At 42.3% G+C, this 14211-nt stretch overlaps 1 non-coding gene and 1 pseudogene across 1 annotated transcript, besides 1 other annotated feature; one reads left to right on the plus strand and one right to left on the minus strand.

Annotated features, from left to right (window-relative positions):
- Positions 922-1015, plus strand: MIR802 (microRNA 802). The gene has a single exon (NR_030414.1). It is a non-coding gene; the product is annotated as a microRNA 802 (primary transcript).
- On the minus strand, positions 4915-5373 carry RPS20P1 (ribosomal protein S20 pseudogene 1; annotated as a pseudogene).
- Positions 12506-13705: an enhancer, noted in NCBI's record as "P300/CBP strongly-dependent group 1 enhancer chr21:37104597-37105796 (GRCh37/hg19 assembly coordinates)". NCBI's record gives its function as "activates an origin of replication core promoter dependent on BRD2, BRD4, P300/CBP, MED14 and CDK7 cofactors, with strong dependence on P300/CBP, by STARR-seq in HCT116 cells {active_cell/tissue: HCT116}" and the evidence as "EXISTENCE:reporter gene assay evidence [ECO:0000049][PMID:35650434]".

The raw sequence follows: 14211 nt of genomic DNA on the forward strand, positions 1-14211 counted from the left end.
AGAATTTCAGGTAATTCCTGATTGCAGGCCGCAGAAGCCAAGAAATAAAAGACTTCTTACCCGAACTAATGTGACTTTACTTTCCAGCTCATGGATTTGCCCCTAGATCTGTGAAGCAGCCACAAGTGGCCTAGCTGTTCTGGGTGTTTTATACCTTTTTTGGCCTTAATGCTTATTTGCAAGGTTCATGTCAAGTTACAGGCTGATGTGATGAAATGACTTTTTCCCATTTGGAAAATAAGATTATTCTTAGTAGCTTGTTTCAGTCTTGATTAAAAGATAGATGTAAAATATTCAAAGAATGATGTCTGAAGACTTAAAGATAAAATTTACATGGAAGCCACTAGTTTAAAGAGATTCAGTCAGCTCCTCCAGCTCTTGTTTTTCTAAAGAAAATTTGAATAGCATATGCTTTTCATTGTGCTCCTTTTCAGCCATTTACATATTGGGGAAATATATATTTGGCAACTGGTCCTATTTTTAGGAGTCCTTGAAACTTGCCCTTTGAAAATGTTTTCATTTTTGGCACATATGTGTGTCTTAAGCAGAATGAAAACACAAAGTAAAAAAGAAAAATATGTACAAAAAGGAATGATTTTTCCAGCCCTATGTAGCACAATAAGAAAGCAATCATTCAGTGGTGACTTTAAAAAATGGATTCTTGCCTGGATTTTCCAACGATTTCCTTCTAAGTGAGCGTTTCTCTGCAGAACTGAACTAATGTAAAGAGACAGTTTGTTCCAGTGCCAGAAATGAACCAGCAAAAAAAAGGACGGAGGCTCTATTTTCATAGGAGGAAGTTAACAAAATAATACCCACTCTGTTTCTCTGCAGCCTCTTGTGTCATTTCAGAAGAAAGTGCCATATGCCCATTGCGTGATTTGAAGCGTGTATTCCCAGCCTGACTCTTGGTCACCACTCGTTCTGTTATTTGCAGTCAGTAACAAAGATTCATCCTTGTGTCCATCATGCAACAAGGAGAATCTTTGTCACTTAGTGTAATTAATAGCTGGACCTTGCAAAGGAAGGTGGGAGAAGGAAGCCGTTCATGCATAGACCTGGATAAATTCAGAACAGGCTTTGCGGATCTTTGCTGCCTTTTGACCAATTAAGGTGCCAGAGCCCCAGCAGAAGAGGAAATATGGTAAACAAAGTGTTTTCTCTGGGGCTGTGTGTGTTATAATCCCAAGCTCTGTAACTGTGGTTCAGGAGAGCTCTCTAACTTTCCCTATCAAGCCAGATGACCATCGACTCCCCTCTACGTCTATGTCCTATTTCAGTGTATCCTTCCCACTTTCCTTCCACCACACTGTCTTCACCAGCCTCTAGATAGATACCACTATAGGATAAAAATCAAAAAGAGAGGCCTTATGTTTGATGAGTGCCTCCCCTAGACTATGTGGTTAAATCACTCAGCAAGCTTTCAGAGAATGTGTAATGGGCCCTGTTTTCAAAATGAGAGGACTGAAAAGAGGTTTAGAGAGGCCAGCGCTGAGGTTAGGCTCAGGGAACAGATAGAAATAGCCGATTCAGGACCACATCAAGGGCTCTCTAATGCCGGGATTCTTAGCTCACTTTTCCCTGTATTGTGATCTTTTCTTTCACTTTTTTTTTTTTTAATAGAGATGGGGTCTTGTTATATTTCCCAGGCTGGTCTTGAACTCCTGGCCTCAAGCAATACTCCTGTCTTGGCCTCCCAAAGTGCTGGGGTTGCAGGCGTGAGCCACTGTACCCAGCCTCCTTAACTTTCTGAACTCCTACTTATTTATTTTTGTGACCCTACTTCTTTATTCTTCCTCCTCCTGTACAAAAATGGCTGGATGGATTCCACTTGTCCCTGGACCTTTAAACTCCTGTCCTCCATACCTGAACAAATCCAATTTATCTCTCAAAGTTTCAGAGAGTTCCTAAATACTAATAGTTCCTCACCATCATCTCACTTGCAATCCGTGCATTTCAGAGTTCCCTTCCCAGAGGCCATTTTTGCCTTTAATTAGCAAATGCATACTATTCTAGGATCCATGAGATTTTTTTCCTTCTATTTCTGCCCAAGGAGAAAGCAAACACGTACTGCTGCATTTGCCATCCTAGGTCCATAATCTCTCTGATCTTTCTTCACCTTTAAAAATCTCACCTCATATATCTTTTCTTAGGCTCATCCCTCAAATATTCAGGTTATTTCCCCCAGGCTTCCTCTCACCTCTCTCCTTGTGGCTACACTGGCTAGGAGTGTCCAGCCTCATTCAAGAGGGGGTCGGATCTCCTTTCCCTGCCCTGTTGCTTTCCACGGTGGAACCAGCATCCTCCCTGACTCCCTGCCCCTCCTCAGGAACCACAACTCCCTGTCGCCCTCCTCTGAACAGGATTGTTCTCCATCCATCCTCCTCCCTGCTCAGACCTCCATCCATAGCACTGTTTCTAAACCTCCAGCTCCCTCTCCCTTATCCCATCTGTGTTAGCCTGTTTTCACACTGCTGATAAAGACATACCTGAAACTGGGCAATTTACAAAAGAAAGATGTTTAATTGGACTCACAGTTCCACGTGACTGGGGAGGCCTCACAATCATGATGGAAGGCAAAGAGGAGCAAGACACATCTTACACGGATGGCAGCAGGCAAAGAGAGAGCTTGTGCAGAGAAACTTGTTTTTAAAACCATCAGACCTTGTAAGACTCATTCACTGTCATGAGAACAGCACAGGAAAGATCGGCCCCCTTAATACAATCACCTCCCACTGGGGTCCTCCCATGACGTGTGGGAATTGTGAGAGTTACAATTCAAGATGAGATTTGGGTGGGGACACAGCCAAACCATAGCACCATCTTTTCAAGGATCCTTTTCCACACATCTCACAGGGTCTGCTCCTGTCCTAGCTGGCTGAACAGTCATCCTAGGCTTCCAAAGTATTGCCAGTCAATGTTCATAGCTCTCTTTATCCAATTTGGGAACTCATCACTGCCTCTGAAACCCAGCTGCTTCATGATAGGCTGCAGCAATAACAATTTTGGAGGCCCAGCCCCTCCATGAGTTTGTTCTGATTTGGGGTGTGCCCATTTGTGCTCTACCTAAGCTCCTGAGGTTAGGGACTCCTGTTAGTCTTAGTGACTCTATGTGTATAATAAATTATAATGCTACAAGTGGGCTTAAATTCTAATTCCTTTTTTTTTTTTTTTTTTTTGAGACTGAGTCTTGCTCTGCCGCCAGCCTGGAGTGCAGTGGTGAGATCTCGGCTCACTGCAACCTCCACCTCCTGGGTTCAAGCGATTCTCATGCCTCAGGTTCCCAAGTAGCTGAGATTACAGGCACGCACCACCATGCATGACTAATTTTTGTATTTTCAGTAGAGACGGGGTTTCTCCATATTGGCCAGGATGGTCTCTATCTCCTGACCTCGTGATCTGAGCACCTCAGCCTCCCAAAGTGCTGGGATTACAGGCATGAGCCACTGCACCCAGCCTAAATTCTAATTCTTTAGATATGTAGAAAGCATAGTCATTCCTTCCAAGTCCATAAAAGTGCCTTGCCCACAACATGTGTGTTATTTTTCAATCCAAGGCACTCTGCTGAAAGTTCAGACCAGCATGGCAAGCTGCGCAAGCACAATTTAAATTCCTACCACACCACACCATTTTGGCTGATGTGTTCCTAAGTATTTAAGTCACTGAACATTCCCTTCTTCCCCCCCCCAACCCCTCTCACATGACACCACCAATTTTGCCTTAAGGGAAACCTAAATGCAGATTCCTGTGACCTGGAGTGGACAAGATAGAGAGTTAGTTCCTGCTGTGATCCTACTATCTTCCATCTGTAGAATCTACCAGAAAGTAAGCTAAAACTTAGGAGCAATGGGAAATGAAGCAAGGTTGCCCTTAAGCCCATTTGTCTGCCAAGACCTCTCTGCAAGTCCTAGACTGAATTGCCTTCCAGATGTCCACCAAGATAAAAAATGTCACTACTTCAGGCCAATTTCTTTGCTTCCTCCCCACATGTGAAACCAGACAGAGACCTGGGAGTTATCCTGGACTCCTTCCCTTAAATGATCCCTCCCGCACAGTCCAAGTCCTGTCCATCTCTTGCTGAACAGATCACCTAAAGTCACCTGAGCCTGTCCTCTGCTCTCTATCCCCATCACATCGTCTTCAGTATAGAATTAGGAATGGGATTGCAGTCCCTTCACTGCCTTTTACCTGCACCCTAGGAGTATCTACCCTTCACCAACTCTCTGTTGCTTACACCATCAACTTGTGGAGAGCTCCAGGCCTGAGAGATGGATGTGGGGGTGACTGGAAGCTCAGTTCTCACTCAGCCCCTTTGTCACTCACACTCTGCCTCAGCATTCACAGCTTAACAAAGACCAATGCAGCCTTCCGGTAGACCCATAAATGGAAGCTATCAGGACCATGGTAGAAGCTGATTCACATTCCATAGGGGCATGCAAGGTTTTCCAAGACCCAGCCTCCTCTGAGTTTTAATTTGTAGAAATACTGGACTGCCTGTAGTTCCCCAAACTCACCAGCCTTTGCACGTGTGCTCCCAGCACAAAGCTGCTTCCCACATCCCCTCAGCTCCATACAACCCCTCCGCATTACTCATAGAGGAAAATCTATTTACACATTTTGCTTGCTCAGATGCAACAGCCCCTAGGATGGCCTTCTGACTTCAACTACCTCCTCCTTATCCCTGTCTTAGTCTGCTCTGGCTGCCATAGCAAATACTACAGACCCAATCGCTTAAACATCAGAGATTTATCTTCTCACAGTTCTGGAGGTCAGAAGTCTAAGAGCAGGTTCCTGGTAATGGCTCTCTTTCTGGCTTGTAAATGGCAAGTCCTCACCATGTCTTCACGTAACCTTTCCTCAGGGCCTGCCCACACAGACAGAGGGAGATCTCTGGTGTATCTTTCTCTTGTTTTTTTAACTGGTGACCAATTTATTAAAATAGTTGACTTAAGTATCTGCAATGGTGGCTTCAACCTCAAGTCCTCGCTCAATACTGATGGAAGTCATCCGCTCAACAATCTCAGAAGGGCTGTGCGAGTCAATGAGTGGCTTGTGGATTTTCATCTGGAAATGATCCCATGTCTTAGAACCTTCACCTCAAGGAGTTTTTCTTGTAGTAATTCTCAAAAGTCTTGGTAGGCATTCTAACTGGTCCTTTCACTTCGAGATTCTTTTCCTTTGCTCCTCTGTTCAAGTCAGCACACATTTCTCCAGAGATTTTATGTGGCAGCTCATTAGCGTGATTCGAATTCAGCAAATCACCACCTCCAGCTCCATGGGTGTTTTTCTGGGATCTTTAAAAGCCATGGCTGCAGTGCAGCTTCTTGACCGACTTGTTCGTTGGCGAGAGTGAACAGTGGTGAATCAGGAGCAAAAAGCTATTCTTTTTTTTTTCCCATAGGTTACATGACTAAGTTATTTAGTGGTGATTTGTGAGATTTTGATACACCCATCACCCAAGCAGTATACACTGCACTCAGTTTGTAGTTTTTTATCCCTCACCCCCTTCCCACCCTTTCCCCCGAGTCCTCAAAGTCCACTGTGTCATTCTCATGCCTCTGCATCCTCATAACTCAGCTCCCACTTATGAGTGAGACCATATGATGTTTGGTTTTCTGCTCCTGAGTTACTTCACTTTTAGTCTCTAATCTCACCCAGGTTGCAGCAAATGCCACTAATTCATTCCTTTTTATGGCTGAGTAATATTCTTTCCTCTTTGAAGGCCGCCAATCCTATCAGAGTAGGACCCCACCCTTATGACTGCATTAAACCTTAACCTCCTAAAAGCCCTACATCCAAACACAGTAATTCACAGCTTCAACACAGGAATTCTGAAGAACACAATTTGGTCCATAGCAACCCATACCCCAATTCCCTGATAGAAAACACATTACCTACATACAGAAGAAAAATGACTTTCCTTGAGTACTCTACAAATTAGTTTGTTTAGTGTTTTATTATAAAAGTTATTATTTGCAATCTATCTTACTATAATTGCACTATGTTCCATTATTATTTTTTGATAAGTAGAAATGCAATATGTTTGCAAGTATGTGTTTTAATTCGTAACTTATGAAACTAGTAATAGCTGGCTGTTTTTTACCTAAATATGTCCATTTTATAGAGTTAAATCTAATATAGATGTGTAATTTATCTTTATACATTGATCAACCAGATAAACTTGTAAATTAAATTTTATTTGCTATGTGCATTATTCGTTCCACAAAATTCTAACGAAAAAGGTTAAAAACAACCCACATGATTATGTAAACATCAAACTTTATTTTATGAAACTACAGAAGTTTAACTGAAGTTTCACTGTTGCCATCAATCTGTGAGTCCCAGCAGGAAAAGGAATTGATGGGCTGATAAGGGTCCACTTCACCTGCTTTTGAAGGAACCACACCTCTTCTCTTTCATGAATTATTAAAATCGAGATACAAAAGTTGCCATTCTGGAAATGGATGGATGCTGTTAGCTGTCATGTGACAAGTGAGGTTTTATTTATTTTTAGCTCACAGTTCCCTCTCACATACATACTGAGAGACTGAAAAAAATGCTGGGGATCATTAAACATGACTGGTTTTATGGTATCTAACTACATCTTCAACGTTTACTAAGACTAAAATTTAATCTTTAATCTCAATTATATTACACATCATGAATAATGTGGACCTGAATTCCAGCTCCTGATTTCTTATGAAGTCAGTCTACAAAATAATCAAATTAATTTATACAAGTTACCCAGGAAAAACGGTTTGCTGACTATGGTTACATCTCACTTGCTTAACTTATTCAATGTTAAGCTTAATTTCCACAAGAGGTTGGAGCTACTAAGAGTTGTTTGTTAAGAAGCTGCGAAAAGAGCATACTTAGGTGTTTCCACACCAAACCAGACTGTGAGCCCCAGAAATGGACATGAGAGGCCTTACAAGACCTTCTTCTCCTTTACAGCCATTTCCTAAAGCAAATATTCAAAGTCTGCATTACCCATGAGTTGAACCATCCTATGCATACAAAATGGCCACTCAGAAGGATTACGTAAAAGCTGCCATTCCTTTCTAATAGAAATGAGTTTGTGCACTGAAAGTCAGCAGTTCATCCACATTATATCCCAGAGGACTAATTTCTGCAGCTAGAGAACTGGAAAACCTCAGCATTTTTCAGGGAGAACAGAAACGTTATCCTATAGCTCTCCCTGCACCATCCTACCCTCCTCCTTGCCCACAGCCACTGACGAGTCAGTGATAAAAGACTCCATCTTCACCTCAACTTGGATTTCATTTTTACTCTCCACTCCCTTAGACTTGAGGTTCTAGAACATTCCTTGCTTTTCAGACTACCTTCAACTTGATCCGAGATTCAAACACCAGTTTCCCTGGTGTTTTTCTTTCTTATTCTCAGAAACATATTCTCTGCTAGACCACATAACCATTAACTCCACACATCCTAAATTCTCTTACAAAAAAGAAAAAAAAGAGAGACAGGGTCTCTGTTGCCCAGGCTGGACTTGAACCCAAGGCCCAAGCGATCATTCCACCTAAGCTTCCCAAGTAGCTGGAACTATAGGTGACTCCACACATTCTGAAGAGGAAGCTAGCATCCTCCCTACACAGCCCATTTTTGGTCCTATTATAGTTCTACCTTTTTTATAAATGATAAACTGATAACGGCTTCAAGAAACAAGTAAACTTTGAAAGATTGCAAAGGAACCCTTCCCTTAACCCTCCTCCATCTCCCCTCCATAATTCACCTTATTTTCCAGAGCCTGCTCTCCTCAACTACCTCATTCCAATTTACTATATGTTGGCTTCTGAAGAAAGCCAACGTTTGGAAGCCAATGTGTGGTAAATTGCTCATTGCTAACTGAGGTGTATTTAAGTTTGCATAGTGACTATTATGAGCAGTATTTCATACATTCTTAGCAGTCAGAGAAGCCTTCCTGCGAACGACCACCACTCTTCTACCTCTTTTTCCCCTCCTCTCCCACCCATGCACACATCCCTTTCTGTTTATGGAATTCATAAAAACATGTAGCAAGCTGAATCTAAAAAGTCCCTGGTCCCTTCTAAAGAAGTCTGTTATAAAGAGTGGAAGAAACAGCCAAAGAAGCTATTGCCAATGAAAAGAGAGACCTCGAACCTTAATATTGTTTCCCATGTCTTTGCTCAACACTTTGGAAGAGATTTTATGGGTTTTGTTTTTCCAGTACAGTTGACTCTTGCACAATATGGGTATGAACTATGCAGGTTCATTTATACAGACTCTTTTTCAGTAAAAGTTACACTGAACATGCCTCCTCTCCTGACCTCCCTTCCACCTCCTCCATCTCTGCTGCCTCTGCCCCTCTTGAGACAGCAAGGCCAACCCCTCCACTTCCTCCTCCTTATCAGCCTACTCGACATGAACATGATGAAGATGAAGACCTTTATGATGATCCACTTCCACTCAATGAATAGTAAATGTATTTCATCCACCTTTTTCTTAATAACATTTTCTCTTCTCTAGCTTACTTTATTGTGAGAATGCAGTACATAATATATATATATAACATACAAAATATGTGCTAATTGACTGTCTGTGTTATCAGCAAGGCTTCCAGCCAACAGTAGGCTATTGGTTAAGTTTTTGAGGAGCAGGCTATTGGTGAAGTTATACATGGATTTTCAACTGCATTGGTGGAGGAGGGGGGTCAGCATCCCTAATCACCACATTGTTCAAGGATCAACTATAATTTCTTTGCTGTGCCCAAAATTTGAGAGGTACTTATAACTGCTGGTAGAATTTTTCCTGTGTAAAAATAGGTGGCATTTGTCTGAGAAAACCAAACCTGGGAAAGCACAGATTCAATCTGAATTCCAAAAGGGTGTGCTTTCCCATCTGTACACTAAAAGATTTCCCTGTAATTCCATTTGCTGGTGACTGCACATTTTTCAAATTAAACTTGAGGAAGGAAGAGAACACTTGTCCTTGAGAAGTTTATAGCAACAGAAGCACCAGAATAGAAACTTTAGATAACTTAGAAAAATTAAACACCTCTAAACAGCACCCCAAAAAAGTTAGCCATTTTTAAGATATGAACATTTTATTTTTTCTTAATTAGAGCATTGAATATCATAAGTAGATCAAGTGTGTTTGCTCCTGTTATTAAGAGCAAGAAAGGAAGATTGGCCAGGCATGGTGGCTCATGCCTGTAATCCCAACACTTTGGGAGGCCGAGACGGGTGGATCACTTGAGGTCAAGAGTTCAAGGCCAGCCTGACCAACATGGTGAAACCCCGTCTCTACTAAAAACACAAAAATTAGCTGGGCGTGGTGGCAGGCACCTGTAATCGCAGCTACTCGGGAGGCTGAGGCAGGAGAATCACTGGAACCGGGGAGGTGGAAGTTGCAGTGAGCCAAGATCGCGCCATTGCACTCCAACCTGGGCCACAGAGTGAGACTTTGTCTCCAAAAAAAAAAAAAAAACAGATTATCCTTTTAGTGCTTGAAAGTGCTCTGCCCTTTAAAAAATATACCTTACAGAGACTAGAGACATATAACTAAATACAATCTTAGACTGAGTCCTTATTGAAGGAAAAAAAGTGTTATAAGTACATTGTTGGGTCAATTAACAAAACTGGAATATGGACAGTAAATAAGAGTATTATATTGAGGCAAAATTTACCAAAGTTGATAAGCGTACTACAGCTGTGCAAAAGAATAAATATTCCTAGTCTTAGGAAATACACTCTGAGGGATTTAGGGGTAAAGGGCCATGGTGTACGCAACTTGCTTGCAAAGGAGACAAATATATTTTTTCTATGTTATGCATACATGTATATGTGTATGTATGGAAAGAGAGAGCAAATGATAAAGCCAATGGAATAAAATGTCCACAACAGGTGATTCTGGATAAAGGGTATTTGTTGTGCTTCTCAATATTTTTACTATTGCAATTTTTCTGTAATTTGAAATGAGTTCCACACTAGAAGTTTAACAAATATACACCTTACAGTTTGAAATTATGTTTTAAAGAAAAGTTGGAAAGCGGAGAGACAAAAGGGGGAAAAAAACAGGTAAAAAATTAATTTCGGGAAAATAATTATCCACACATCTAGGTGGCTTCTTCCCATCTTCTGAGACAGGTCAGCATCATAGATGCCTACTGTACTCCAGTCCTCAGCCTCATTCTTATCTCTCCAGTCTTCCTGATCAGGAAATAGCTTCAAAGGTCAGCCAGGTTGGCTCAAAAAATCCACAGACAAAATGGGTGAAAATGAGTATCTTGGAAATGGTGTGTTGCATCCTCTTGGTCCTGAGCACTCTGCCTCCTCGTGCTGCTCCTGGAGCCACCACTGAATCAGGCAAACACATTTCTTTTCTTTCATTTTTTTTTGTTTTGGTTTGGTTTGGTTTTTGGTTTTTGATTTTTGTTTTTTTTTTTTGTTTTTTTTTTGAGACAGAGACTTGCTCTGTTGCCCAGGCTGGAGTGCCATGGTGTGATCCTGGCTCACTGCAACCTCTGCCTCCCGAGTTCAAGTGATTCTCCTACCTCAGCCTCCCAAGTCACCGGGCTAAAGGTGCCCACCACCACGCCTGGCTAATTGTTGTGTTTTTAGTAGAAACGAGGTTTACCAAGGCTGGTCTCAAACTCCTGACCTCAGGTGATCCGCCCGCTTCAGACTCCCAAAGTGCTGGAATTACAGGTGAGGCAAACACATTTCTATGCCAGACCTCTAGGGGGAACTCCTTGGGATTGACGCTCAAAGGCATGAAGCTTTGAATTTCTCTCTCAATGTTACAAAACTTAAAACCCCCTTCGAAATAGATGGCTACGCTGCAGACCAAGGTACTAAACAATATTTTATTATAACAATAATCATTAGTGATGTCAATTGAGAAAAATGACAACACAAGTCTCAATCATTTTAGGAAGTTTATTTGCCAAAGGTAAGAATGCGAGCCTGGGAGACAGGTCTATGCCTTTCTCCAAAGATGATTCTGAGGGCTCCAAATTTAAAGGGGAAAGGGCAGGATATTGCAAAGTACACAATTTTCACGTAAGAGGGGGCTAGGAAAAATTAGTCATTCGTGCCTTTGTCTGGCTCAATAAATCTGCATTTTTTTTATGTAAGATGACATAGACAAATAAGGCAGAGGAAAAAGGCAGGCAATCTGCATTTTACATAAGATAACATAGACAAAATGGGGCAGGGAAATAATCAGATAGGCATTTGGGTCAGTTGGGCAGGAGGATGGCTGCACCTGTAAAGATAAGCTATCAATTTGCATTGCCATGGTGAAATTTTAACAGAAACACCTTAGAGTAAAGATCTTGCAGCTCACCAGGAATTTACTTGTAGGCAAAATATGGGGGAGACATGTAGCTTTTCATCTTGTAGCCATCTTATTTAGGAATGAAAAACGGGGAGGCAGGTTTGGGTGACCCCGTCCCTAGCTCCACTTTTCCCTTTGGCTTAATGAGTTTGGGGTCCCAAGATTTAATTTCCTTTCACAATATCATTCTATTCTAAGCCACTGAAATGTGTTAACTCATTTAATCCTCACAACAACCTTGTAAGAGAAGTATATGATTACTTCCAGTTTATAATACAAATGAAGAAATCAAAGCCCAGACAGAATAAGTAACTTGCCCAAGGTCATGCAACTGGTAAGCCACTGAATTTGAACCCAGGAAATTTGACTTCAAAGACCACATTCTTAATTACCACACTCAACTTCTCAACTGCACCATCCTAAGACCCAGACATCAACCTTCATCTGTTAGCCAGTTAGAACAATTCAAATTATCCTGGTTGAGTGGCCTGGATGTCACTACAGATGCGATATTGCCTTTGTTTACAATCCCATTGTCTAAGCTTCATAAGGCAAACCCCTATTGAAAAGTCAAGTTTACTCCATGGTTGCTATTAAATTTCTGGGGCCATGTTCAGCATTTGTTCTTTTCACCCCCGTCAAATGAACTGGATAGACTAAGCAACTAATTGATTTTCTCCATAAAATCTTCAACAATTTTCTCATAACCCAAAATGATCTCTCCCCTCTAAATCCATTATGAATCATCAGGTGGTGTTCGGCTTCCATAACAATAGACAATGTGCCATTTCCTTGCACATAATCCCTGGGTGGCAGGACCTAAGATTTGTTCGGTTGGCTTAGCTCATACTTCACATAGATTCTGATCAAGAAATCTATTTTCCCCTCTCTGGGAAGCAGGAGATCCACGGCTGGCTTTCATGGAAAACAAGCAACCACTTATCTCATGGGCTTTCCAGTCTCAAAAGAAAGCCCCACAGCTATAATAGGGAGGGTGCTGTAGTAGAGGTTATAGAAGTAGTAGTAGTAATAGTCTCATAGCACCAGTAATAGGCGTAGTGGCTAACATTTCACCAAGTATCAGGTCCGACTTTAAATACTTTACCTCATCACATCCCTATGATGTAAGTACTGTCGTATCCCATTTTATAAATGAGAAGGCTGAGGCACAAAATAAGGCAGGTATGTGGGCCCTTGGAAAGTCAGATTTTGCAGCCACCTTGTATTGGTCAGACAGTCTTACCACTGTAGCAAACAACCCCACTTCTCAGTAGTGTCACCTAATGAAGATTCATCCCCCAGTCATAGCACAGTCTGATGAGATACTCAGCAGCATCCTTCCACAAGGTGATTCAGAAGCCCTGGGCCCTCCCTCCTAGAGGCTCCATCATCCTCTGGTCTTTGGAGTTCTCCGTGGACCATGTCCAGTTGACAGAGAATAAGGAGGCCTGAAATATGGTCTCCTGTGTGATCAAGAGAAAAATGAACACATTGATGAACACACGGTATGCTCTCAGAGCAATCTTAGAAGCGTGGGTCACTTAGGGACAGAGGATAGACAGCAAGAGAAGAATGCTGGCCCCGACCACCTCTCCAGTGTGAATGCCACCTTCCCTCCCTCACCGTTCCCCAAGCAGAGAACCAACATTCACACAAATCGGATTATGACTTCTCGTGTTTTCAAGAACGGTCAGTCCTCTGAGTCTTCCAGGCCAGAGTCTCCCTCCACAACTAAACGCAGAAGTGGGGTGGAATAAAGGACAGAGGTACGTGAACTTTCTCTGACTCACCTGGGCTTCGGCCGGAAATAAGCAAAGTGCTGATACCTGACGTAGCCGTGACCTGGGCAAGGTATTGTTTCACATGATCCTGTTCCTGAGTGCTTAGGCAAGGCTCGACCAGCCTGAGTCTCACTCTGGCTCCTACCACACCTTGTTTATTAAGTCATAAAACTTTCATGAAGTTAAGCCAGGCATAGCGGGGCTCATCTGACTACAGCTACAAGCCTCCAGAAGAGTGCTGGCACTAAGACAGACATTTGTCGAAGGGTGACTACCTCTCTGCTTGCCATTCAATTATGTCCTGTTTGTTATGAATTTTATTTGATTCCTCCATCAGAATTTCCTTTCCAATTATGGAAAGTGAAGAGGTATCTTATCAAACATCAGATCCAGGACATTCAGACTTCCATGTGTCCAGAAGACAAACCCTCGTGTTGCCTTTAAAATACCTCTCCGCCAGGCACGGTGGCTCACACCTGTAATCCCAGCACTTTGGGAGGCCGAGGTGGGCGGATCACCTGAGGTCAGGAGTACGAGACCAGCCTGGCCAACTTGGTGAAACCCTGTCTCTACTAAAAATACAAAAATTAGCCAGGCGTGGTGGTGGGTGCCTGTAATCCCAGCTACTCAGGAGGCTGAGGCAGGAGAATCGCTTGAACCCTGGAGGTGGAGGGTGCAGTGAGCCGAGATCGCACCATTGCACTCCAGCCTGGGCAAGAAGAGTGAGACTCCATCTAAAATAAATAAATAAATAAAATACCTCTCAAAGATCTTAACTTTGCCTATTTTTATTGTTTCAGGAGACACGTATATAGTGACGCCACTATCCAAAGACATCTTCAATGATGCAGCATCATTAATTCAATGTTTTCTTTTTTTAAAAAAACTTTTGAGTCAACGTAACTTTTTCCCTGACTGTTTTGTTCCTTGATGTTCTTGCCTTTACCTGGTGTCAAAACCCATCTGTGAGCACAGTTAGATAAGGCTTCTCATTGTTCTCAGGGTGCATAAAATCCCTCTCCCTCCCTTCCTTCTCTCCCTCTCCCTGTGCCTTTCTCTGGCTCTCTCTTTTTCTGCCTACCTCATCTCTACCCTTCCTCCTTCCAGAAGC

The sequence above is a fragment of the Homo sapiens genome, chromosome 21, assembly GCF_000001405.40.
Source record: "Homo sapiens chromosome 21, GRCh38.p14 Primary Assembly".
NCBI lineage: Eukaryota > Metazoa > Chordata > Mammalia > Primates > Hominidae > Homo > Homo sapiens.